Source organism: Homo sapiens, chromosome 8 (assembly GCF_000001405.40).
Source record: "Homo sapiens chromosome 8, GRCh38.p14 Primary Assembly".
Taxonomy (NCBI): Eukaryota; Metazoa; Chordata; class Mammalia; order Primates; family Hominidae; genus Homo; species Homo sapiens.
Window position 1 is genome coordinate 56,195,079 of NC_000008.11, and position 24,601 is coordinate 56,219,679.

General features: G+C 41.6%; 2 protein-coding genes across 16 annotated transcripts in view, besides 6 other annotated features; one reads left to right on the forward strand and one right to left on the reverse strand.

The window, feature by feature from the left end:
• The window catches only part of PLAG1 (PLAG1 zinc finger), a 50,365-nt gene extending 34,170 nt beyond the window's left edge, over positions 1-16,195 (reverse strand). For all 4 annotated transcript variants that reach the window (NM_001114635.2, NM_001114634.2, NM_002655.3 and 1 more), the window contains exon 1: positions 16,043-16,195. The gene's annotated coding sequence lies outside the window, so the exon portion shown is untranslated. The remainder of the gene's footprint in view (positions 1-16,042) is intronic.
• Positions 11,558-11,758: a silencer, noted in NCBI's record as "peak7026 fragment used in MPRA reporter construct". NCBI's record gives its function as "represses an SCP1 promoter by STARR-seq MPRAs in K562 erythroleukemia cells {active_cell/tissue: K562}" and the evidence as "EXISTENCE:reporter gene assay evidence [ECO:0000049][PMID:32103011]".
• Positions 16,180-16,739: a silencer, noted in NCBI's record as "silent region_19211". NCBI's record gives its function as "represses an Ori minimal core promoter by ATAC-STARR-seq in GM12878 lymphoblastoid cells {active_cell/tissue: GM12878}" and the evidence as "EXISTENCE:reporter gene assay evidence [ECO:0000049][PMID:35858748]".
• Positions 16,180-16,807: a biological region, named in NCBI's record as "ReSE screen-validated silencer GRCh37_chr8:57124219-57124444".
• Positions 16,582-16,807: a silencer, noted in NCBI's record as "fragment chr8:57124219-57124444 (GRCh37/hg19 assembly coordinates)". NCBI's record gives its function as "represses an EF-1alpha promoter that drives an FKBP-Casp9 reporter gene in an ReSE screen in K562 erythroleukemia cells {active_cell/tissue: K562}" and the evidence as "EXISTENCE:reporter gene assay evidence [ECO:0000049][PMID:32094911]".
• CHCHD7 (coiled-coil-helix-coiled-coil-helix domain containing 7) lies at positions 16,711-23,731 on the forward strand. Of its 12 annotated transcripts, none has more exons than NR_133934.2 (6): positions 16,711-16,759; positions 17,684-17,831; positions 19,520-19,589; positions 21,311-21,453; positions 21,602-21,676; positions 22,253-23,731. NR_133934.2 is itself a non-coding variant. In NM_001011667.3 (5 exons), exons 2-4 carry the CDS (start codon positions 17,773-17,775, stop codon positions 21,425-21,427), a joined length of 246 nt encoding a protein of 81 aa, NP_001011667.1. In that variant the 5' UTR covers positions 16,711-16,759; positions 17,684-17,772; the 3' UTR covers positions 21,428-21,453; positions 22,253-23,731. The 12 variants fall into 12 exon arrangements, 8 of the variants coding, with proteins under 8 accessions (NP_001011667.1, NP_001011668.1, NP_001011669.1 ...); NR_133935.2 differs by having other exon boundaries at positions 21,311-21,428; NR_133936.2 differs by having other exon boundaries at positions 21,355-21,453.
• Positions 16,820-16,889: an enhancer, noted in NCBI's record as "active region_27400". NCBI's record gives its function as "activates an Ori minimal core promoter by ATAC-STARR-seq in GM12878 lymphoblastoid cells {active_cell/tissue: GM12878}" and the evidence as "EXISTENCE:reporter gene assay evidence [ECO:0000049][PMID:35858748]".
• Positions 18,460-18,959: an enhancer, noted in NCBI's record as "H3K4me1 hESC enhancer chr8:57126097-57126596 (GRCh37/hg19 assembly coordinates)". NCBI's record gives its function as "activates a minimal SCP1, AML or CMV promoter by ChIP-STARR-seq in primed H9 embryonic stem cells {active_cell/tissue: H9 hESC(primed)}" and the evidence as "EXISTENCE:reporter gene assay evidence [ECO:0000049][PMID:30033119]".
• Positions 23,732-24,601: the final 870 nt, after the last annotated feature.

Here is a 24,601-nt window from a genome sequence, read left to right on the forward strand (position 1 = left end):
ACTATCAGAGATTTCTAGTTCTATTAGAGACTATTATTATCATAATTATTAGCCAAAATTTCATGAAATAGAGTGAATAAGCTTGTTTAGAACAACCAACCAAAAACCATTTGACCACTTGAATGGAACCAGGTGTTTTGCTGAGAATTTTTTTCATGCATTATCTCATTTAATACTTAGTGACTTAAATTCTCTCTGCTCATTTTCTTCCTCTATAACTGGGAATCAAGACAATACCCATGTTAGGGAGCCATTACCAGGATAAATGGCATCACTATGTGTAGGTGCCCTGAACAGTCAGCACAGGGCAAGCACTGCAGTCAGACAGCACTATTATTCCAGATAAGGGAGTCACTTCCCAGTTCACGGGGTCTGTTACAGAGCTAGCTGGCCCACCACCTGCACTCTTCATGGAAGCTAACCAGCCTTCTTGGGCCAGCAGGGGAGAACATGCAGAGGGCAGGTGCCAGAGAGGCTGGGGTAGGGTGGTGGTGGAGCCACGACCCAGAAAGCCAGCGTCCAGGGCTGGTGAAGACTGCAGGGGGTGAGACAGATGTGAGGAGGCCCAAAGTTCATAGCCAGCAGCTGGAGAGATCACCGAGCAGGTTCCCTTGCCTGAGGCCACCTCAGCCCAAATCTAAGGAGACAGGAGGTCCTGAAGCTCAAGGCGCCTGGCTTCGTGTGGGAGAACAGGTGACGGTGCAAGCCGGGAGGGGGCCAGCGCCCAGGGAACCCTGGGTTGGTGAGAAGACAGAGCCCAAGATGGGCAACACAAGTCTCTCCTTTGAGCTGTTACAGCTCGGGGCACTTGTCTCACAAAACCTCCCAAGTGCCTGCTGTGTGCAGGTGAGCAGTGATATCAAGATGACAGACCTAGTCTCGCGGGTGTGGGAGGACACACCAAACTGCAAGGCAAGCCAGCTGCGTGCTCACTGCTATAACATGGGCACCACAGGGGAATTTGGGGAGCACAGAAGTGCCATGGAACCAGAGTTGGCCAGAAAGGTGCTGTCTAGGGAGCAGAGGAAAAGAGAACCCCTAGTAGAACGAGCTGGGGAGCCAAAGGCACATGATCATAAATATATAAATGGCATGAAATAACTTCACACCCGCAGGAAAATAAACAAGCCCGAGGGAATGGGGATGGGCATGGGTAAGGGATAGAAGAAACAAGCCTGGCTGTGGAGGCACTAACTGTTGAACCTGGTGATACACCAGCATTTACTGTATTGGTTTAACCAAGGGGTTCTTCACTCTACTGTTGTACTCTCAAGTGTGTACATCACGCTCAGAGGATAGAACCGGATATATGAGTGTGTGATGCCTCCGCTGTATACTTCCAGCATTTTAATTAGGGTAAAGGAACTTGGTGTGACCTTCTGTCTGGATATGGGTGACCTGAGGAGGATAGGAAGAGTTCAGGTACTTTCAGGGGCCAAGCGCTGACTGCCATTCAGACCTGGCTCTATGGGCACACCCAGTGGGGTGTGAGGACACGTCAGTCAGAACTGGGTGGCACCGCGAGCGTTTCCTGCCCCAAGTCTCGGGGATGGTGCAAGTACCACACGCATAGACGAGCAGCGTGTGCACATCTCTTGACCCCGCGTGTCTCCTGTCACTGCCCTTGGTGTGCTGTCCTTCACCTGGCCTGTCTTAACTCCTCTGCAAGGGTGTGGGCCTCCCTCCTGCCTCCTGCCGTGCATAATACATGTGTGTGTGTCCTCCTCTATGCATGTGTCTCTCTCTCTCCCCTCACCCCATCCAGATGCGTGGGGGTGTGCATGTGTGTGCACACATGTGCCGCCTCCCTTTGGAGTTGCTCTGTCTTGTGTTCCCACATGGGGTGCAGGCACCCTCTCCCTCCCTAGTGTGCGTGTGTGTGTGTGTGTGTGTGTGTGTGTGTGTGTGTGCTCCTCTCTCCCCTCCAGGGCTGTGTATGTTTGTGGATCTCTGGGGCCCTCCCACTCTGGCGTGTATTTCTGTCTCTCCCCCCAACTCTGGGGGTCTGTCTCTCTCTTCCTCGCTGGGGGTCTTTCTCTCCCTGCTGCAGACCAGGTGTCTGTGTCTCTCTCCCACCTCTGCATGCTTCTGTGTGTGTACCCCCATCTGAGCATGTGTGCCTCTCTCCCCAAATCCTGGTGGGACTGGTGTCCTGCCCTCACATCCGGGGCTGTGTGTCTCCCTCTGCCGTGGGAGTGAGTGCGTCTCCGCTCACATCCTGGCGTGAGTGTAACTCTTTCTCCTGCCCATCCTGGAATCTGTCTCTCCCACCTCCACCTTCTGGATGTGTCACTCTCTCCCCCAGTCCAGGTGTCCTCAGTGTCTTTTCCCAGCCTATCCTGGTGAACGTGCAGTGTCTTTCCCCACTTTGGGGTCTCCCCTCAAGCAGGGAAAAGACAGAGTCAGAGTTGCTGGTGCATCTCTTTCCCCTCTGTGGGTGTGAACTGGGTGTATTTCTCTCTTCTTTCTCTGTGTTTGTCTTTCTCCCACTGGCTTTCTCCTGAAATATAAATATAAACATAATTTACACATACCTGCACAGACAGATACAGCCTCCCACGCCCACTGTGCTTAGGTCTACGTGTTTCTCTGTCTGGGATTGTGGGTCTCCCCTGCTCTGGGTATTCTGGGGGGTGTGCATCCTTTTCCCTCATGCATCTGTGTCTGTCTTTCTTTGGAGCATGTGTAGTTGTCTCTGCCACCCCCATGGTAACAGGGCTTGCTGCAGGTGAGGGCTGGCCTTGTGGCGGTCAGGAGGTCTGTCTGTACTTGTTGCGCAGGGCTTAGCTATGGAGGGAGCAGGGAACAGGGTGGGTAGGGAGCAGCAGAGACAAACTTAACCACCTTCTCTCTCCCAACCTTGCTGTTCCACACTTCACAATTAACAAGGGGCTGGGTGACTCCAAAGAAGTGATCCCAGGCCTCCTCCTACTGACTTCTCCCTGGAACTCATGTCGTCCCAGACACCCTCTGGAATGGATGGCCCGCATCACACAGCCTCTAACCGCTGCTCAGGGCTTCCTCTAGCTTCCCTTCACCACAATCAAACCTCTGGACTGCCCCTGAAAACAGAGTACTCCTCTCCAGGAATTTACCCTGTGCCGGTTCTGAGACAGAGAAAGTGGGGTGGAGGACAGCACGTGGTCCTTGCCCTCCAAGGCTCAGCCCCGAGAGGAAGCTGCATACCCACGCATGGTATGGAGCAGTGCTCCAGGGCCGGTGAGAAGGACGTGGCTGTGCAGGCACAGAGGGGTCACCACAGCTGAGGCAGGCAGGCTGTGGGTGCCCCAGCAACACGCCTCTCAAAGGGGCAGGGGAGGAAGGAGGTGACGGGAGCACCCAGGTCCTATAGCCATGTGCAGAGGGCAGCACAGATGAGGATGAGGCTGGAAGTGACAGCCACCCTGCAAAGGACAACCCCCGCTCTGCTCCGGAGTTCTACTGCACTCAGGGCCAGCGGTCCTCATAGACGTTACAAGACAGTCCAGCAAGATGGCTTTCTGCCCGGTCCCCTATCTCGCTCCCTCTGCCTCCAGCACGTAGAGCTCCTCCTCCAGACCTCAGGGCCTCTGTCTGGAGCGTCCCTTCAGGTCACTCCTGGCCCACCCCTTCTCATCATTCAGGCCTCTATACAAAGGGCCTTTTATCAAGAGGTCTCCCCTGATCACTGTCTCTTAGGGTCCCTCTTCCCTGGCCCCCAGGACTCCTCACCTCTGAACTCCTTCTTAATTCCTTCATGCTGCCTACTGCACCCCGAGGGAGCTCTACTAACTACTGTGTCCTTTGCTCATTGTGGGTGGGGCCTGGCTTAGTACCCAGCATGGTACTTGACCTGTGTGGCAGGCACTTTGTAAAATTTGTGGAATGAATAAGATATAAAAGGAAAGGTGTCTTGCACATAGATGTGGAGATGTTAGTGTAAACAGAAAAGAGACATGGAGGCCCTAGAGAGAGGTAGAGACTAAGGCTTCATTAGCAAGAAGCTGCAAGCTAAAGGTACCGCAGGAGTGGGAACGGGTGCTCAGGAAAAGTGTACACTGAGAAGTGGACTGGGGAATGCTGCGAACCCTGGGGAATGCCAAAATGCTGGTGGTTGGGGGGACAGGTGGAAAAAAGGTGCCACCCAAACAAAGTGCAAAGGAGGTGCCAGAGAAGGAACAGCAAAGCCAGAAAAGTCAGAGATGCAGGAGTTTGCCAAACATGTGGAATCCTGCAGAAAGGCAAGTGGGGATAAAATGGAAATGATGCCACCAGCTTTGGTGCCTGGGAGGCTGTTGATGGATGTTGCCTTCAAATGCAGACTCAAAATGAAGGGGCAGGATAGCTAAAGAGTAAGGGGAGATGAAAGAAACAGCACATGGACCACTCTTCCAGAAAGTCTGGCACTGATGAGGGGAAAGGTACTTAGGGAAGGGGGATGATGAAGCCAAAGGTGTATTTTATTTTTTTGATTTGGGAAGATCTGAGCATATTTTGCAAGTGGAGAGGAAGAGATGGGAAATTCCAAGATGGGAGGGGTGAGTGACAATACAAGGACCTACGAGGGGCTGGAGTAACCGGCTGGCTCCAGAAGCCCCGGTATACAGCCCTGGGGCCCAGCCTCCCCAGCTAGACCAACCCTTCCTGGCACTAGGCAGTACGTCTCCACCACCCCCCCCGATCCTCCCCTACAGGAGGGCTGGGCATCATTACAGAGGAATCCAGAGGTAAAGAGGGCACTGACAGTCCCAGTCTTCTCTGGGAGCTAAGCTAGACATCTGGTGAGAGGGTTATAGGAGAACATTAGATGTTGAGAATCACTGGTGAGAGGAATGAGCAAAAGGAGAGAGAATGGGGATGCAGGTAAAAGAGTGGGTTTATACCATGAAAGACCCAGCTCTGAACCTCAGTGGGTACCCTCTCAACGGAATAAAACCCCTTCTGTGTGGCCTTCGGGACCTGATGCCTCCTGGCCTGTCTCCCTTTCTAGCTTTCTCCACCATCATTCTGCTCACCCCTGACACCCTGACACTCAACTGCAGAAGAATGGGGCACGTGCTGCATATGCGGGCCCAAGCATCCTTCCCTGGATTCCCCGGCCTTCCCCCGCCATTCTTGGCTCTACAGCTACCTCCTCTGTGAGTCTAATTCCCCCAAGTGGTATTAACTTCTTCTATGTGTCCATTTCGTTAATGTCTCTATAACACAAGTATTAAACCCATGACGGAAGTTCCAACTGAATATAGAAAAAGGTGGTTCCATGACTAAGGAACTAAAAAATGGTAGAGCCATTCACAGAATAGCTGAAGTCTGAATTGCTAGCAGAATGGACCTAGTGGTAAAGACCGGAGACCTCTGCGTGCAGCGGGCCCCGCTTCCAATGTGGAACATATTCACATTTCTGTAACGCTAGTCTTACATCCATGGGGTCAGTTTATTCTGGACTCTGGATCAACTTAACTTTCCTAATTCATCCTCCTCTGCTCAAAAAGCTACAATGCCTTCCGCAGCACATAGTGCACATTCCTCAGGCTGGTAATAAAGGCTTTTCACAATCAGATCTCAGCACACCTTTCTAGCGGCTCCTGAACTGTACCCTTGCAAACCATCCTCTCCAGTCAGACTGGTCTTCTCTGTCTCCTAACCTCTGCCAAAACCATTCCTCTCACCTGAACAGCCCTGCTTCTTCTTGCCAATTCCTAACTCATGCCTTTTTCAAAGCCCATCTCAAGTTCCACCTCTCCCTCCCTTGAGCACCTATAGTTTTTACTGTCTTTACCATTCATTTAGCATTTTAAAAAACAATGCTCTGGGATCTCTTTATACATTAACTCATCATCCAAAGGCATAAAAGCAGAGAAGTTTAAAAAATTTTTCTTTTTCGCCCAATTCAACATTTAGCCACATTTCCCGTGACAATCACATTTTTATTTTAAAATAAATTTAAGGAATATTTATGTGTTTATTATAGGGGAGACACAAAGGAAGAGAGAAATCCCCAAATCCCCCAAACCCATGGAGATTACATGAATAACAAAATGGAGATGTGAAACTTGGAATTCTTTAGTAATTGGGACAATACCATATACTGTATTAAATTCTTTTAACTCTCCTGGGTGGGAAGATCATCAGTGGCATTTTTAGCTTGGAAGCCTAACATCTAAAATTAACCAAGCTAAGCAATATTTTCAATTGTCATCATGTAGAATTACATTGTTTAATGAAATAAGACCATTCAAAAATTTGGGGAAAAATGTTTATTCATTATTCTGAAATCAGACAGCTTTGCAACAAATTTAAGGCCAAAATTAATAAAATTACCTATTTAAGATCCTTATTATGAGACAAAGTTTATACTTATATCTTTAGAAAAATCTCCTTTAGCTTAATAAGTTGATAAATTTCCCCAATTCCTTATGTACAGCTTAAAGATAAGTTGACATTTAGCACTTTCTAACTCGAATTACTCTGTCAACTCTATGCCTGAAATCTTCATTTTGTAAGAATGTACAATTTTCTTAAATATATGAACTTCAATATGGACATAATTTAGGTTTATACTACCCAAATAACATATAATAATTAGCTGCTATAGGTCTGTCCATTCTAAAGATTTACTTACAAAAAGTAACAGAATTCCTTCTGAAATCATTATTGCTTCTTGCATACACATTATCCCTGCAATTCCTATCTCATGAGATTGCTGTGAAAACTAAATGAGATAATATAGGTAAAAGCAAAGACTGATAGGTAGCCAAAGTATTTTATGGCTGAAGCATAGCATTAATACTCAAAATATTTTGAGAGTTATAAAAGTCATGTTGCTAACGATTCAGGGAATAATTCAACCAATCAAGTTGAGTTTCTTTTTCTTTTAAACATAAACAGTTTCTTTTTGGGCTCTTTTTTTTTTTTTTTGTTTTTACTAGGAAAAACCTTTAACTAAAACTTGGCTGAAATAAAAAATTTTGTAACATCTCATCTTTAAAGGATCAGAACCTCTGCTTTCTTATTTGATCAATTTCAAGCTAGATTTAAAATACTAGTCTAATTCTACTTTATTTCAGTGAAATGATGGATGAGATAAAGTTACTTATCTTTAAAATTTTCTGAATTTTATACTTAGCAGTTGAAGACCACACTTCTGAACTGTGCAACTTGAAAAAGATCTAGATTTTAGTACAGCATTAAACACAGAACCAGAGTATACCACAATGACTTTTATATTAATTTTAATACATATGCTCATTTTCCAGAAGTGATTTTGGATGTTATTGCTTGATTTTAAAAAGCACAGAAAACTAGTCTACGTAAGGCACTGCCATACACAGGGTGGCAGCACTGAGAACCAAACACATGCAAACAGCAAGAACACTTGGAAGGGCCAATGGAAGCACACAAGTGTGCCTGAAATCTGATTAGGACAAACTTAGACATGCGGGTATTTTGGCTTCAATTAAAAAATTTCTTTTAATTCTGGAAGAGTATCATGCATTGTACAAAAGCTATTATGAGTCAGCCTCTGAATGTGATCAATTGCACTTCTCCCACAACAAACTGCTTTCTCTACTTTTCCCTGCACTGAGGGATAAAAGGTGAACTAAGAATAATTAAATTCAAGCACCACATGAGATCTAATGTTTAAGTAGAGCAACTGTATCTCTGGTATACAGCTGAAAAGATAACCCAGGCTATGATTAAAAGTGCTCCTAGATAGGAATTTAAGAATAACATGATCTTGAGAACATATTAAATAAAAGCAGTTACAGAAGTAAAGTTTTAAAATAACTGTCTGTCACCAATCTCTCAGCAGCAATATTGTGAGATAGGAAGTACAGACATTAGTTTATACTTTCCCAAAAGAAGGGCTTTTAAGAAAAACATCTGTAACTGTACTTAAAAAATTGAAATACCATTAAAAGTATTAAATGCTTGATAATTAAGAATTTAAATACAACAGACATTCAACCAAGTACTGACCTATTTGTCACTACTTTTCTTTGAAGAATAATGAAAATAATTGAATATATCACGATCTTTAAGTAATTTTGACCACATATTTGAAAAAAAACTAATAAATTTATTAACTGTTAAAGGCTAGCTGCTTAGGAACGTCTACAGAATTTTATATGTGTATTTTGTACTTTGTTTACAAATTTCTAGGCATAAAAAGTAGATTCAGATACAAAAACAACTATCTGAATTAAAATTATGTATATTTCAGCAGTAAATCAAGTTATTCAGTTTAATATTTAAAGCTTTCATTCTATGTCTAATTAAGCCTGTTACTTGATAGTTTACTTTCATTTTGATTTGGGTAAGCAAATATGACAATATATTTTAATACAGCATCTTTCAAAACGTAATATATGCCAAATTATTGCTGAAAAAATGTCTTACACCTTTTTCTTAAAAATAAACTGAGCAAATTACATTAAAAGCTAGACCTGATAGATGTGCTTAACATACAGCATAGTTAAATCAGTTATTTGTTTGTATGACAGTAGCCCTGAGAATGCTCACGTTTTATGAAGCAAGATAAAGAAAAACATAAAATGTCACTAACTCCTGTTTGGTGTGCCTGATCATCACAGAAACTTTCCTTCTTGGAAACATTTTAAAAATCTTCCAAATAACTAGTAGGGCTGCTTCCACCACTCTTGGTGTAATTAACCTATTTTATTATACATCTATTTCTATTCTAATGCTAAAATCCTATGAAATTGAATAGTAAACATCAAGTAAAATGCTACCAACATTAGAAGAGAAAAATCTAGATTGAAATTTATACAATTAAATTACCTCAGTCTATGACAAATTAGCAAAACATATGAAGAACATTTTCTCAGATTTATTTAGAAACAATTTTAAAGGTGCAAGGAAAACAAATTCATGTTTGAGGTGTAGCTTATTTATAATAGGATATGCTGGTTATATTAATATTTGTTTTTAGGCTTATAATAGGTTATAAGGTCATAACAATCCAAATATATAAAGTGACAACTGTTCCATAAGTTGCAGTTGTGTAACACAGAATAATGGAGCTAATTTCTCTTCAATGGAATGCAGTGCTTAAATGAATTATGTTTAGGAAATACAGAAGATAGCTTAAGAAAAGGAAAGTGCTCATATATAATAAAACAGCATTTTCCCTTCATTGTCCAAAGTTGATAAAAATAAAACCTACTTATTGTAACTCTCTCAGGGTATGAAGAAAAGTGACGTGAGCTCTATGTAACTCCAGCATTAAGACAATACAAGAAAAAATCAAGTTACCGAGAAAATCTGGTAGACTAAAATCCAACCGGTGTTATTTTGAAACTGTACACTTGAACTATCTTAAGTTTCCAGGTTTAATTTCTTAAAATTCTCATGATCAAGAACAATTCAATAAATATTTACTAATGTATCTTCAAAGGAATAAAATTGATTATGACACCTTCCAATTTTGCCTTTGAGCCAAAGGGGCTAAATTCCTTATTTGCTAATTGATTTCTAGTTTAACAGTCTCCAAAAATGTATTTTAAAGTTAAAGGGCTCTAATGTCTAACCACTGGTTAAAGAGAGATAATTTTTTAAAAACTGATATGGCAGCCTTTAACATATAGCACTTATTCTGAGAATATTATCACATTCAGAAACAAAAAGATAGGAAATCACAATCAATATATATATGTGCAATTCCAATATTGGTCTGCAATAATAATTCAAATATTTAATGAGTGAAAGGCTAAAAGGGGGCTCTCATTCTCAAAAAAGAAGAGTTCAAGACTCTCTAATGGCACATCCTTCACAATCTGTAAAGGATTCTGTTGCCTTTTAAGAAAAGATGCCCCCTCCTCTCTCAAAATATTTTCTAATAGTAAAGGCAACTTCTATCCCAGAAGATTATACCAAAAGTTTAGATACTCTTTCAGAAAAGCACTTGCTAATTAATAAACGGGAAAGAAAAAATTCCTTTAATCGGCAGCATAGACCTAAAAACATACCAGAAATTAGGAGCTTTGTTGGTGAAATGTTATCATTATCTTGTGAAAGGCTTTTTAAATGTGACTAAGTCTGTAACAAATTATTTAAATTGCTCTAAAAAAGTCCATGAAGCAAACTATTCTTAGACTGAGGTTTTAAAATTTATTTCATTAACTTAAAGTTTTAAACTTTCTGATGAACAATGAAGAAAATGATTTTCAATAATTTCTAACTTTCTCAGGACACTTCACGAAGACACACATTCAAAACAATCTTCAAAATATTTTATAAAAATAGCAAAAAGTAATTTTTCTTATTTAAAAAAAATTCTGAATAACCATTACAAATTATTCTTAGAATTTAATTTAGTTTAATTCAAATCTAAGAAGAGAAGGAAGGCAGGCTTTGGGGATCTATTTTAAAAAGGTCATTATGAAACCAGCAATTGGTATTAAAAATATTCTTTGGTAGATCTCCCCAATTATCTAATTTTTAAGGCAAAATTACAACTTTTGCCTTGTAGTTGGTTATTATTTATTCACATAAGATGAATTTTTAATTTACCACAATTGTTATTTTACTCTGAAATTCTTATCTACCAAATTCTTTACCATGAATTTTGGACATTTTAGTCCATACTTATTGTTACATACTTTCATTGTTTAAAATTCTTATTTTTAAAAGGCACCAAAAAAAATTTTTGCTTCCTAACACCTTCACATTGCTAGGTTTTCTATGTTTTTAGATTAAGAAGATTCCACTTTTAAATGTAAGGAAATATTTTAAGCAAATTTCTTGTCCTATTAACCTAGGACATACTGCATAAGTTCATTCATTCTACACATGCACACACATTTTTTAGGTAGTCATCTCAAATTCCCAGCACACACTGTGGTTAGTTTTAATACCATGATCCTGTAGTAACTCTGTTTATAAGACATCCAGGGACTTTTAAATACTAACAATTTTAATGCAGCATAACACTACCTTTTTAAAAAAATAAGATATTTCTGTTTTATAAAATTTTTAAATGTTCTGATAAGCATTTTTTTTTAAGAGCAAAATTCTTAACAACAAACACCAATACATACACAAAATCAGAAAACAAAAATACCCAAGTGCCCTTGGAGGTTCCACACCACCATATCCTTGTCAGTACCACCCTGTAAAGAGGAGGCAGGGATAGCTATAAACAGTGAGTATAATGCAAACCTCTGGACAGCAGACTAATCGATTTAAAAGTAAAAATCAAATTATGTCCCTGTAATAATTTCTACTAGGCTTTCATACACATACATTTCTTACAACTTCAAATGTTAATAGCTCAATACTTTTATAAAATGTTATAATCTAAAAATCTTAATTTAATTTCTCAAATTTTACAATGAAATTTGCAAATAAGATATAAAAGTTAATCTAACATAAATGAAAAGTAGTAACAGTGGATTTTAGGTTTGAGCATTTCAAAAAATTTAGGCAATAAAATACAAAAAGCAAAAATTAGTTACCTCCAAAGTAGTCTTACGGTAAAATAGAAAAGAATTCCCATGCATGAATTCTAAAATCAGGTTAACTTTACAGCTAATCAATCTGATTTACCCTGCATTCATATTTTACTTACTTGTAAATACTTTTCCATGACTACCTAAACACTTACTAATTGGTTAAATATGCTACCTATATTAATTCCTGGTAGAACTAAAGAAACTAAAGGTCTACCTTTGTTTTTCAGAAGTGACTGATATAGTTTCAAAGTATTCAATGTTTCAGAAAAGGTGTTTATCAGGTTCTTAAGACATTTAAAAATGGCTCAAGGGATGATTTATAGCCCTTTTACCTTGATCATATTCACTACCTTGGATTTTGTTGAACAGATTCAGTTTCCTCCTTTTGAAACTCTTCCCTTACTCAAATAATTAAAGAATCTAAGATGTTATCAATATAAAGAGAAAAAATTAATATTTATTTCTTATACACTTGCAAACACACCAAAAAGAATATGTATTCCAAGCAATGTAAGTAAGTTTCTTCAGTAAAACTTTTTTTTCCTTGGGGATGTGTGTAACTGGTAATTTTTTATATATCTTAATTTTCCAAAGAACAGGATTCTAAAGAAAAAATATTAAAACATTCTTAGATAAAATTATTTTGACTACACAGCTCAAGAGGCAAATGATTACTGAAACAAAACTTCAAAGATAGCTATAGATATATGTTTTAGTTATCTGGCTTTCCAAATCTCACTTAAGACAGGAGCATCACATTTAATTTAGGAAACAACAAATTTAATCCTTAGAAAGGAAAATTTGCAGAATATCAAACCAAAATGTACATAGTGACAATCAGGATTACATTAAAAATGAAGGAATAACCCCCACCTGTGCATGTTATTAAAACACAAACAGCACCCTTCAAATTTTAAAACTATACTGATAAAGCAAATTCACTAATTTATTTTGCTATAAATATCTATTTACTATTTACTAAAATATTTTGGTAATAATATACAGATATAGAATGTGTCAATATTAGCCCACACTTATAAATCTTCCACAGCAGATAAATTCTTTATAGAATTTCAAGTAGCAAAAGTAGGCATATAAATTTCAAATAAGACTATCAATATATGAGGTTTCTCCGATTCCAACTGAAATAAAGATTTTGACTACACAATATCATGACATTATTTCTGTATACTGGTATAATTTAATAGCTTCAGAAAAGGATGTTCAACAGGTAGTATTTCTAAGGCATCACAAAAGCTCAGTACAATCACTTCAAATTAAATATTGTGCTGTGCCCCATCTAAATAAGACTCTCTAAGCGATTACAGATTTTAGATTGGTGCACTCTGAGTGCGTTTTCTGAACAGACAAGTAGCTAGTTGCATAAAATACAAACATGAAGAAAGTTTTACACCACCCTATATGAGAGGAAGAAAAAAAATCACAATACCAGCACTTTTATTTAGATTGACAATAAACCAGTCATAGTGTCCAAACAACCTGAATAACACGATAATCTAATATAACTTGAATTCCTTCATTTTTTTATAGAGATTGAATTTATTGATATTAGTATCTGGTTTGTCAAAGTGGCAATTATTCAAGATCTAAGTCTCATTTATTTTAAATGCACAGCATAATTCTGACTACTTATAGTCAATGTAACTGTCTTGAGCCAAAATACAATGAAAACGTAAGATAAAATGAAAAGGCTTTGTAAGTCTTAATGGCATTCTGAAACCTCTGGACAGAAGATCATTGGGCATGGAGGAGTTTCCCTTCTCTATTGATAGCTTAATCCTTTTCCAATCAATTTTGATTTAACTGTGGGTGATGAGATTAATCTTTTAATGAGTTCTTAGAAAGTTGTAATTGCTTCCAAAATCAGAAACCACAAGATGATGTACTCAAACACGTTACTGATGTGATGTTGTATAGAGGTATTTACAGAAAGTTGGAAGAACTCAGTTGTAAACACAAGTTAACATACAATAGACTACAAAAATAATAACTTGTTTATACAGTAGGGCAAGAAAAAACATTCTATATAAGAAGTCTAAAAATTCAGCTCTAATTTTAATCCATGTCTATAAATAATAAAAACAAGAGGAAATAAGGATTTATTTCAGAAACTCCATATACCTGTGGAAAATGGAACACAAGTAATTTCTACTGAAGATTAACCTTAATCCCCATTATAGTACAGCTAACAATTTACACATTTTAAATTTTGAAAATATCGTGGAAATCTAAAACATAAGAGCCGATAGTAGTTTATGGTCAGTAAACACTTTCTGTTAAATAACACAAATAAATTCAACTTAGAAAATGAAAACTCACAGGGCTCAGGATTTTAAAAATCTTTTCATTTCAAAGGCGCAAAGTTACAACCCATGCATAGGATGGACTTTAAAAATGGATGTGTAAACTTTTCCATGGTGTTGGTGTGTGTGCTTTCCTTCCCCCTAAAGAAATGCCTACTGCTTACAATTTTAAAGAATCTTCACCACTCTGTAATTTTCAACCAGAAGTCCTCAATGTACCTTAAGCCAAATTGAATATTAAGGTATTTTACAGTTTTTACAAAATGGCTGTAAAATCACATTATGGGCATACACAGCTCTTTGATCTCACTGCACAGAATTCATAACTGTTCAATAATGCTATACCATTACACCACACACCTTAAACTATTTCCATTTTTCCACAATTCCTTCCAAAATCAGCTTCCAAAGCAAAGCAATGTAACATGAAAAGTTCCTGGGAGGGCTTGTTACACAAAGGAACAGTTTGGATACAAACTATACACATATCCATCTTCGGTTGAGGCTGTTTATCCCTCCTGTCCCTCCATCACTCCTATGGGTGGGTGCACTGGAGTAACAGAAAGGGAAGGCTCTTCCATCACCACACCCTCCCAGCACCTCTGCTTTTGGTCCTCAGACAGTGATTCTGTGTAGGTGATGAAAACCATAAGAAAAGAGAAGCTGTCCCTTTAAAATGCCCTGCTCTGTCCCATATCCCACGTGGAACCAACATCAGCAGCACTTTCCCATTAACATCAATGTGATGCAAGAGACATCATCCTTTTATACACATAAAACCAGAAAACCTCAGCTTAACATTCTTTAGGAAGGATGAACAGGTGAAGCAAACATGTCAGGAAGGGGGAAACCAAGCAACTCCACATCCCTCCCCAAAAGGTACTCCAGCCTTGCACTCCAGCCTCTCTGAGCACCATCACCTCTCTATCCCTCCTCTGCAGAGCCCAGTTTAAAGAAAGGAGGGAGCCACTAACAAAACCTGAAGCATAAATGCGACGAAAATGCAATCTAAAGCCGGAAAGGTTCATTCTTCCAATCACACATATTAACTCTATTAAGAAAATGGCATCACTTTTTTTTCCACCCAAAAAAACCCCGCAAAGATCATTAAAAGAGAGTTATAAAATAGCAAATATAGTGTTTATCTTATCTGAGATCAGTCCACATTACCAATAAGTTTAGCAGTTTCTGCACTACCACCTCCCCCCTCGCTCCCCCTGCTTCTCTTGCATCGGATTTTCACGTTTTCTCATTGTCGGTTGAGTTATAAAAGGCTTTTGCCCTTCGAAAGTTTTAAAAAATAAATAAATATTAACTCCTTGGTCCCTGCAAAGTCAAAATGGACTTCAGGGGAAAGGCGGTACATACTTTTACCTTTAGCGAGAAAAGGGGGAGCATCCCGGATTTTTAGGGATTTTTTGCGATTTTTTAAAAATTTTTATTTGGTTATATGCCTGAGTTCTCCCTCCATTTTGGTTGTTTATGATACTGACAACAAGCTGTCCCTGCTCTGTGCCGATCTCCTGCTTTCATTTAGCACCCCCTCCCCCTACCCCCCCTCGCAGCCACACACCCCGGGCTCACACCTCCCTGCAGACCCCGCACCCCGACCCCGGCTTGCCCACCTGAGGAAAGGGCAAAAACAAATTCATTTCTCCAGAAAAGAAAAACCTCTTTTGAAAAAGGGGCAAAGTTACCCCAAGTCACTCAAAGTGCCCCCCAAATATTGCCGACTGCGGGTTTCCGCCAGGCCCTTTGGGAAGCGACCTTCCCCCGGGATGTTTTGGTGGAAAATGCGGAGAGTTTACTCTCAAAACTGAATTTATATTAATTTTTCCCTTATTTTTCGGGTCTCTAATGTCTTCCGCTCTCGCTGCTGCCGCTGCCGCTGTCACAATATTCACAGCACCAGAGAGGAGGAGGAGGAGGAGGAGGAGGAAAACTTTTCAAACTTTCCAGACCCTGAATAAAGGTTTTTTTTTTTTTCCCACCGACCTCACCTTCGGGTCCCCAGCCGCATCGCCCCCTGCCCTGTCAGAAGCGACTTCGGGAGTCCTCGCAGCCCCGCGTAATTATTTTATTTTATTTTTTATTATTATTTTTCTCTCTGGGGTCCTGAGCAGGGGCTGAGAGTAGCACAAACTTTTCCTCCTCCTGCCGCCGCCGCTGCTCCTCTGCCCCCTCGGCTAGTCCCATAATTTAAATAACCCTGATATTTCTCCCGCTAAACGCCTCGCCGCCGCCCCGGACCCCCGGAGAACTCACCGCGGGGCTTTAACATCCTCCCTCCGGCCCGTCCGCCGCCTCTACACCGCCCGCGGAATTTCTAATAATTTTTTTCTCATATTTCGGGCTGGACGCGGCGGGCCTGGAAATTGTTTCCTTACGCCTCTTTCCAGCAGCCATTGTAGTGTATGCGCTGCCCCTGCAGCCCAACTTGCAGCTGCCGCCGCCGCCGCCGCCGCCGCCGCCGACGTCGCGCCCACCGCTGCCTCCCCCTGCCTGTTCGGCCACCGCCCCCGCCTCCCGTCGGCCCGCCCCCAAACCCCGCCCGCCGCTGCGCCCGCCCCCCGCGCGCGCTCCGCCCGAGAGCTGGCCACTCGGAGCCGCCGCTGGCGGGAGTTGGCCCGCCCATTGGGCCGCGACGCCGCCCGTCAAGCCGAAGTGTTAAGAGACGGGCCGCGGCTGGGGGGCGCGGTGGGGCGGGGGAAGAGGGGGCGGGGTCGCGCTCACCGCCCCGCCCACTCCTCCCGCCTCGGCCCTCCTTTCGCCAGGCGGGGGCGGGGCGAGGCCCGACCGCCCCTGCGGCCCAGGGCCCCGCGCGGCTGTCAGTCTGGCGGCGGCGCGCGCCGATTGGGCGGGCTGCCGCCGGGGAGCGGGGGCAGCAAGTTGGGATGCGCGCTACTTAAGGTCCTGCTGCGTGAGCCATTGACGTGTTTGGAGCTGGAGACGGCCTGGGTGCTGGCGAAGCGGAGGCCGGAGGTGAGTGGTTCCCCCGCCCTACCTCCGAAGCGGCCGCAGAAAAGCGGGGAGAGAGGGGTGCCCTTGGGCCGTAGCGGGGCCCGAATGCACTTCTGCGGCGCGGAGGCGCTCCCGCCAGGCTTCGCCGCAGCGCGGACCTCTTCCCGTTGCTCTTCCTCCCGCCACACGGGTCTGTTCGCTCCGGGGGCGAGGAAGATGACCTCTGCCTAGTCCGGGCAACCCCAGCTCTTCTTCCACTCTCCTGTGTAGCCTCTGAAGCGCAGTTACCGGCCCCACCCCCAGTTCCCTGCGTTTTCCTCGCCCCTTGTCTCTCTCGGCATGGTCTCGGCACAGCAAGGTGTGTTCACCTGTGCGCGCCGTCCAGGATCAGATGCTGACGGGCTACACCGCGGAAGGCGGCGAGGCCTCGGGTTCGCCCTTCGTTTCTCCTTGCCCTGCGCGCCCACCTCCGGCAGGCCACCCTTGACTTCTTGCCCCCTTCCACTTTGCACCTGGCAGTGGGTTAACGGCACGGCGTGTGCAGCTTCCGGGTTTAGCAGAGCCGCGGACCCTGCCTGGGCTCCGACCACGGGGCGTGTGGGCATGAACGTGTTCAGAAACGTTTCCTTCCCCCTGCCCTTTCAAAGCTACTTAGAGAGGGGGGACGTGAACCACTGGATGGGAAATCAGGAACTGCTTTATTAAGCAGTTTGCCCTTTGGAGTGGATTTTAGAGTTATCCCCTGAATGTGCTATGGTTTTGTGGCCCCTCCTTCATATCTTTGCTTGGTTTTTCTTTCTGGTTATGCTCTGCAAGTAGTAGAGCCTTGTAACATTTATTTAGTACATTCAAAAAGTAATAGACAAGGCCCCTTTAGCGGAGCACTCGATGTTGTAATTCAGCCCCGCTCCTCACTGTAAATTGACATTTCCTCTTCAATTCCAGTTAATACACGAGGAACTCATGCAAAGGAGGGGACTTTCGGAAATCCAAACTTAGAGTGCCTTGTATTTAGAATCCGGAAGGAAAAGGAAATGAAATGTGAAGAAACTCATGCACCAAACTCGAACTGGGTATATGTGATGTTACCTAGGTATTATTTTTGAAGAATTTCTGACTGACAATAAAATATAGAGTAGGATACTTTCATGTAAGGCACGAAACTTAAATTTAATGCAAGGTTGTCTGATCCTTGTTGAGATTATTAAATCTAAGGTGTATGAAGAGTTCTGTGTTCTCACATCATAGGATAGGTGTAAAAAAGAAAGCTGTGAATTTATTTACTATCATCATCTCTCTTAGGAAGAAGGGAAGTGTGGAAAAAAATTGTCTTCAGGAGAGGAAGAAGCTTGTAGATATAATTGAACAGCATCTTGATTTCTTTTTTGCCAAGATGTTACTGTTGGCTGGTTATTTTCTTGTATTGTTCAATGAAAATCATAAAATTATTATTCAGTGATTACTTAATGGACACCAGAATAACCAAACCCTTTTCCATTCTTTTTTTTGCAAAGGCTGGTCTCCTTTGGCCTGGACGTCCTGATCTTTCCCATAGTAGAACTGGGCTGGGTGTCTCTTTTTTTTTTTTTTGAGACGGCGTCTTCCACTGCTGTCGCTTGGGCTGGAGTGCAGTGGCGCGATCTCGGCTCACTGCAACCTCTGCTTCCCAAGTTCAGGCGATTCTCTTGCCTCAGCCTCCTGAGTAGTTGGGATTACAGGCGCGTGCCACCACGCTCAGCTAATTTTTGTATTTTTAGTAGACAGGGGGTTTCACCATGTTGGCCAGGCTGGTCTTGAACTCCTGACCTCGTGATCCGCCCGACTCGGCCTCCTAAACTTTTGCAAAGCTGTATCTCTAGGAATTGAATTGGAAGATTACTGAAGCACAGTAGCATTCCCTGACTTCCTGCAACGCAGGGAAATAGTTAAAAAGAAGATGCCACTGGAAGTAAAATTTCAACTCTTTTGTTTTTGAAACAGTATAGCTTTTCATAATGTCAACTAAGCAATAACTTGGCTTTTTGGTGTGTTGGCTACCCTACTATTGGCCATAAAATAGGCACTCTGGTACTTCAGTTGATGAATGTTTTTGCTAAAGTTGGACTGTACCGAATTTCATTCTTATTTTGTACGCTAATTGGTGTAAAATAAGGAAGTAATTGTTGGAATGCATACTGTATTCTTAGGTTTTATTAGTACATTTGGTTGCTTAAACTTAAGAATAAGAGTAAACAACAACTGAATTATAATTGAACTATCTTTCTTTTTCGTTTTTTTGAGACAGGGTCTCTCTCTGTCACCCAGGCTGGAGTGCACTGGTGCAATCACAGCTCTCTGCAGCCTTGACTTCCTGGGCTATCCCACCTTACTTAGCCTTCCAAGTAGCTGGGACCACAGGCACACGGCACGACACCAGGCTAATTTTTGTATTTTTGGTAGAAATGGGGTTTCTCTGTGTCGCCTAGGTTGATCTCGAACTGCTGAGCTTAAGCAGCCCTCTCGCTCCAGCCTCCCAAAGTGCTGGGATTACAGGCGTGAGACACCGCACCCAGCCAGTAGATGCATTTCAATCCAATATATGGCCTTTGTGTTGAGGCATGGCAATACAAAGGAAAAACACGTTCAAGTTTTTATTCACAAAGTACAGAGAATACATGAAGTTCCTCACTAAGTGATCATTATGCCAAAATCAAAATTTCAGGTACTTTTAGTGCTATTGAGATGTATTGATTTATTTTCTGTCAACTACTGTATAATTATTTTTTTTCTGTCTACCCTCAGTAAGAAGACTGTTAGAATGCCCTCGGTAACACAGAGGCTGAGAGATCCTGACATAAATCCTTGTTTGTCGGTAGGATGGTTTGCTTTAATTTTCATGAGTGTTAAGTTGGAAAAACAGGCTGCTCTAGTTTTGTGGGCCTTTGTTTTCTGCAGTTGTTGAATAAAGTTATTTCTCTAGAAAAAATATTGTTGGCCAGCATATCCTATTTAACTAGAGCATTTTTAGATGTTTATAATTTCTCTAACAAACATTCATCTTTTCTTTAGTTTTCCTTATTTGTATAATATGCAAGCATTTGGTTGTCACTGTAAAACTAGACAGGAAAATGTAACACTGAGAATATTTAGTCCAAACATGGAAAACTGGAAGGTATGATATTTTTAAACTGTCACTGACATTTATTGTTTCACTAGCAATAATATCACCATGTCCTTGACAACCTGGCTGAGAGTAATGGGCTGATAATATAATTAGCCTATTTAAAGCTTAAAGGTTTTCACAAAGGTATCTGATAAACAAAATGTTTTAAGAGTAAGCTTTTATTGGCATTTATTTGGTATGATTTGCGATACTTACTTGTGGCTTTGCTACGTTTGAATAATGTAGTTATCATACTGGTCCCATGAAAATTATACTCTTTAGTTATATGCATTTTCCAAATATATACATTCATTAAATATTTGGCACAGAAATTCAGCTTTGTTCTGTTTACGTAGAACATGTTTCTTAGATATGTGTTGCAAACTGTCTACCCATATAGCTAAAGCTTTCCTTTAGATCTGTGTTCCCCAACCTTTTGGGCACCAAGGACCGGTTTTGTGGAAGACAATTTTTCCACGGATGGGGAAGGGGGCGGGCGTCAAAAGGCATTAGATTCTCCTAAGGAGCTTGCAGCCTAGATCCCTCACATGCACGCAGTTCACAATAGGGTTCGTGATATTAGATCCCACAATAGGGATCTAATAGCATTAGATGAGAATCTAATGCTGCCACTGATGTGACAGGAAGGGGAGCTCAGGCGGTAAGGCTCACTTGCCCATTGCTCATCTCCTGCTATCTGGCCGGGTTCCTAACAGACCGAAGACCAGTACCACTTTGTGGCCTGGGGGTTGGGGACCCCTGCTTTAGGTGACCTCACAGAATCATACCTTTCACTTTTAAGTTTGTTATTCAATCTACTTCCAGTTCACACAGCTTAAATTTAATCCCCATGTGGCACCTACTTTCCTTTGAATTTATAGCTTGTGTTGTTGACTTCGGTTTTGAAGTAATATCTATTAAAATTGCTTATATAATAGTGTATTTGTATAATGGAGTAAATGGTAGCCAAAAATGCATTGAGATGAATGGTGTTAATTTAGGTTGTCTTGTTGTAGACCAGTTATTAGTGATTTACTTGGAATCTTGAAACCAATATTATGATCAAACATTGAAGCCAAAGTGAAAATCTGGAAAAACAGGAGAGATGTACTGTGAGTCAGGAGATGGATTCTGATTCTAGTTGTGCAGTAGTCATTTAACACATTGCACCTTGCCTCAGTTTCTTACTAAAATGGTTACTGGATTAATTGATCACAGTTATTTGGCTCAAATTCCTGTGATCACATATTCAGAAAACTGGCCCACATTATAAAAAGGAAGATGTTAGCCTGAGCAGAGTGCATACTGGGATAGCTGGCGAGATTGTCCAGTTTTTATTAGTCTACCCATCAAAATGAACACAAATGAACTATTTCACATTATTTGCTTCTGGGGAAGCAGCTTTTGTTTGTTTGTTTGTTTGCTTTTAGATCCTGTTCTACCTTTTAAATGATGCCTCTCTTATATCTGTAAGGAATCTGATGCTTCCACCAGATGTCTGGATGAAAATAACTATGACAGGGAAAGGTGTTCCACTTACTTCTTGAGGTACAAAAACTGCCGGAGATTCTGGGTAAGCCTAGATTGGTTAGCTTTGTGTTAAAACCCATCTCCTAGGGTTGAAACTGAAGCCTAAAATTAGTCAGTACCCACAATCCTTTCCCACTGATGGCTGTAGGGAAACTTAACTTTTCAACTTTATCCTCTGTGTGCTACTTTAGCCGTGAAAGATCCTTGAGAGCTCTTGTTAGCTGCCTCGTCGTCCTCTAAGCTATAAGAATGCAGTTTTAATATAGGTGGGTCTTCTTAGACATTTAAGTATCTGCAGCCCTAAAACAATGTCTTTGTTATAAATTTAGTTTTCCTGGAGATGAACAGAATGTTTAACTTCCCTTGTCATAACACATCATGTTAGGCTTCAATTTCTGCCTTTTTCTCTCTCACTGCCATCCGTGGAAGTTAAAATGGTCCATTTTTCTGAAAACATTGGTATATAATTTCTGTTTCCTTGAACCACGGGATCCAGCTATTTCCTTTCGCTTTGCTAAATGCACTGTTGGTTTTATTTCACGATTATTCAGTAGCTCTTCTTGACAGACTGTATATACTTTTGTACTTTGTACTTTGTATATTCTCATCCCAATTGCTGTTAATGTATTCCTGTGGGAATGAGTACTTCTATTTAATTGTTACTAATTTAAATACGTTTATCTGGAGTCCTATAATTAGGTTTTGGGATTTTTTTTTTAAAAAAAACTTGGTTTTTAGAATTTCCTTTTTGAGGAAGCAATAGCAAATTACTGGCAAATGATTAGCATTTAATACATGACTGATTTTGGTTTCTTCTTTTTTATTTTAATGCCTGTACACAGAATTCTATCGTGATGCAGAGAAGAAAGAACGGAGTGAAGCCATTTATGCCTACGGCAGCAGAAAGAGATGAAATCTTGAGAGCAGTGGGAAATATGCCCTATTGAATGTTTGCATTAAAAGTGTTTATATAACTTAGAAGCAGATGAATATTTCTAATAAATGATTGCTGTAATATTTAAGACTGTACACCCCTCACCCAGACAGACCTTAAGTTCTTCAAGTGGAGACAGTGAAGTCACCCCGTGTCCTTTTTGCTTGCTCTCAGTGCCATGCCGATGGTATGTTGCTGTTGGCTGTGTTGTGGCATGAGTTTGCATGACTTTCTGGAGGCATGGAGTTAGGTAAGGCTACATGAGAAATTGAGCTTTTCCACTGGGTTTTGAAAGAAGAGTATGATGTGAACAAGTAAAGACTGAATGGGGCTGAGATGAAGGCAATGTTTCCAAGGAAAGGAAATGTTATGAGCAAGAGTGTGAGGCAAGAGAAGCTGGAACCACATTCAGAGAGTATCCTGTAGATTGCTCCACCTAGAATCTCAGGTGGGTGGAGCAGTGGTGGGAGAAGACTGGAAAGGTAAGTTGAAGGTAAGGAATGTGTGGTGGGCCTCAGATCCCAGGCTCATTCCTCAAATCACTTCTTACTTCCCTCACTTATCTTTGTTTAAATAAGGTTAGTACATTCACTAGGGGCAAATGGGTTTTTCTAAATAAATGACATAAAAAAGAACTGGTTGTCTTTCTTTAAAGAAAGTCTTAGTTACAGGATTCTGTGATTAAAATCCTTAAATATTGGGTTGCCTTCTGCAGCTGTAGTATCAGTTTTTGAACCACAGTAATGGGAAGAAAGACAAATGGATTCCCTTAGAAGTAAGATTTCTATTTGCAGGATGAGTTGGGCAGGGAAAAGGGTCAGGGTTCATCAGGTGAACTCAACACTGGGATGAGACTAGAACTTCACTTTATGATATAAACACAATACGATTATTCAATGTGGTGACTGGGGTAGACTGTGAAGCAGCCCTCCTTATGCCCACTGCCTTTTAGAATCGTTTGTTTTATTCATGGTAGTTTTATGAAGACATACTATTATTGAATGAAATTTAATGTGTACTTGAAAACATTGCTTTTGTCCCTTCTCTTCATCTGGTCTTGGGTCAAGAACATTGTTTTAATGGCTGCCGACAATGAACTGTCTGTCTGAGTCTAAAACCAAGCTCAGGTTTCTAAGCCACATGACCTTGATTGTTAAATGTAGTTATATTTGAATAAAAAATGAATCATTTCCAAAATTCTTTTGATTTGTATTGACTGCTATAAAAATGATGGATTAAAATAGGACCAGAAAAGAATGAATGCCTACCTGTGTAAGAAGTATTTTTGTATTTTTAAGCACACTTGTTAAAGGGCTTGGAATTTTAATGTCACTCCTTTGAAGGTACATACCAATATCAACATTCATCTTGTAACTAGTTGTCCTGATGCCACTCTTGTTGAGTCTTTATTTTCAGTACCTTTGCCTTATTGCTGAGCACTTCAGGTAAAGACTTGGACACCTGCCTTCCCACCAGGCCCTCGTGCCCGCTGGGCCTCTGGGTTGAGGTTGATGTAGTTCAAGAACTGCAGTTGGCTGCCGGGCGCGGTGGCTTACGCCTGTAATCCCAGCACTTTGGGAGGCCGAGGCAGGCGGATCACGAGGTCAGAAGATCAAGACCATCCTGGCTAACATGGTGAAACCCTGTCTCTACTAAAAATACAAAAAAAAATTAGCTGGGCGTGGTGGTGGGTGCCTGTAGTCCAAGCTACTTGGGAGGCTGAGGCAGGAGAATGGCGTGAACCTGGGAGGCGGAGCTTGCAGTGAGCCATGATGGCGCCACTGTACTCCAGCCTGGACGACAGAGCGAGACTCCATCATAGAAAGAAAAAAAAAGAACTGCAGTTGGCTTACCAGTGGCACTCTGTAGGGAGCTATAGTTCTGGAGATTGCGGAAGAAACTTTTTTTTTGAGATGAGTGTCGCTCTGTTGCCTAGGCTGGAGTGCAGCGGTATTATCTTGGCTTACTGGAACCTCTGCCTGCCAGGTTGAAGTGATTCTCGTGCCTCAGCCTCCCAAGTAGCTGGGACTACAGGCACCCATCACCATGCCCAGCTAATTTTTGTATTTTTAGTAGAGATGGGGTTTCACCATGTTGCCAGGCTGGTCTCAAACTCCTGGCCTCAAGTGATCCACCTGCCTCAGCCTCCTAAAGTGCCAGAATTACAGGCATGAGTCACTGCAACTGGCCCAGGGGAGAAACGTTTAAATGCTCAGGACCAAGGGATAGCTCAGTCCAAACCTGGATGTGGGGGCAG

Coding starts and splice junctions, on each gene's coding strand:
- CHCHD7 (NM_001011668.3), top strand. CDS start 17,773: ATGAAATGTGAAGAAACTCATGCACCAAACTCGAACTGGGTATATGTG. Junction 19,590..21,354: donor ACATAAATCCTTGTTTGTCG/GTAGGATGGTTT, acceptor TATATCTGTAAG/GAATCTGATGCTTCCACCAG. Junction 21,454..22,252: donor AAAACTGCCGGAGATTCTGG/GTAAGCCTAGAT, acceptor GCCTGTACACAG/AATTCTATCGTGATGCAGAG.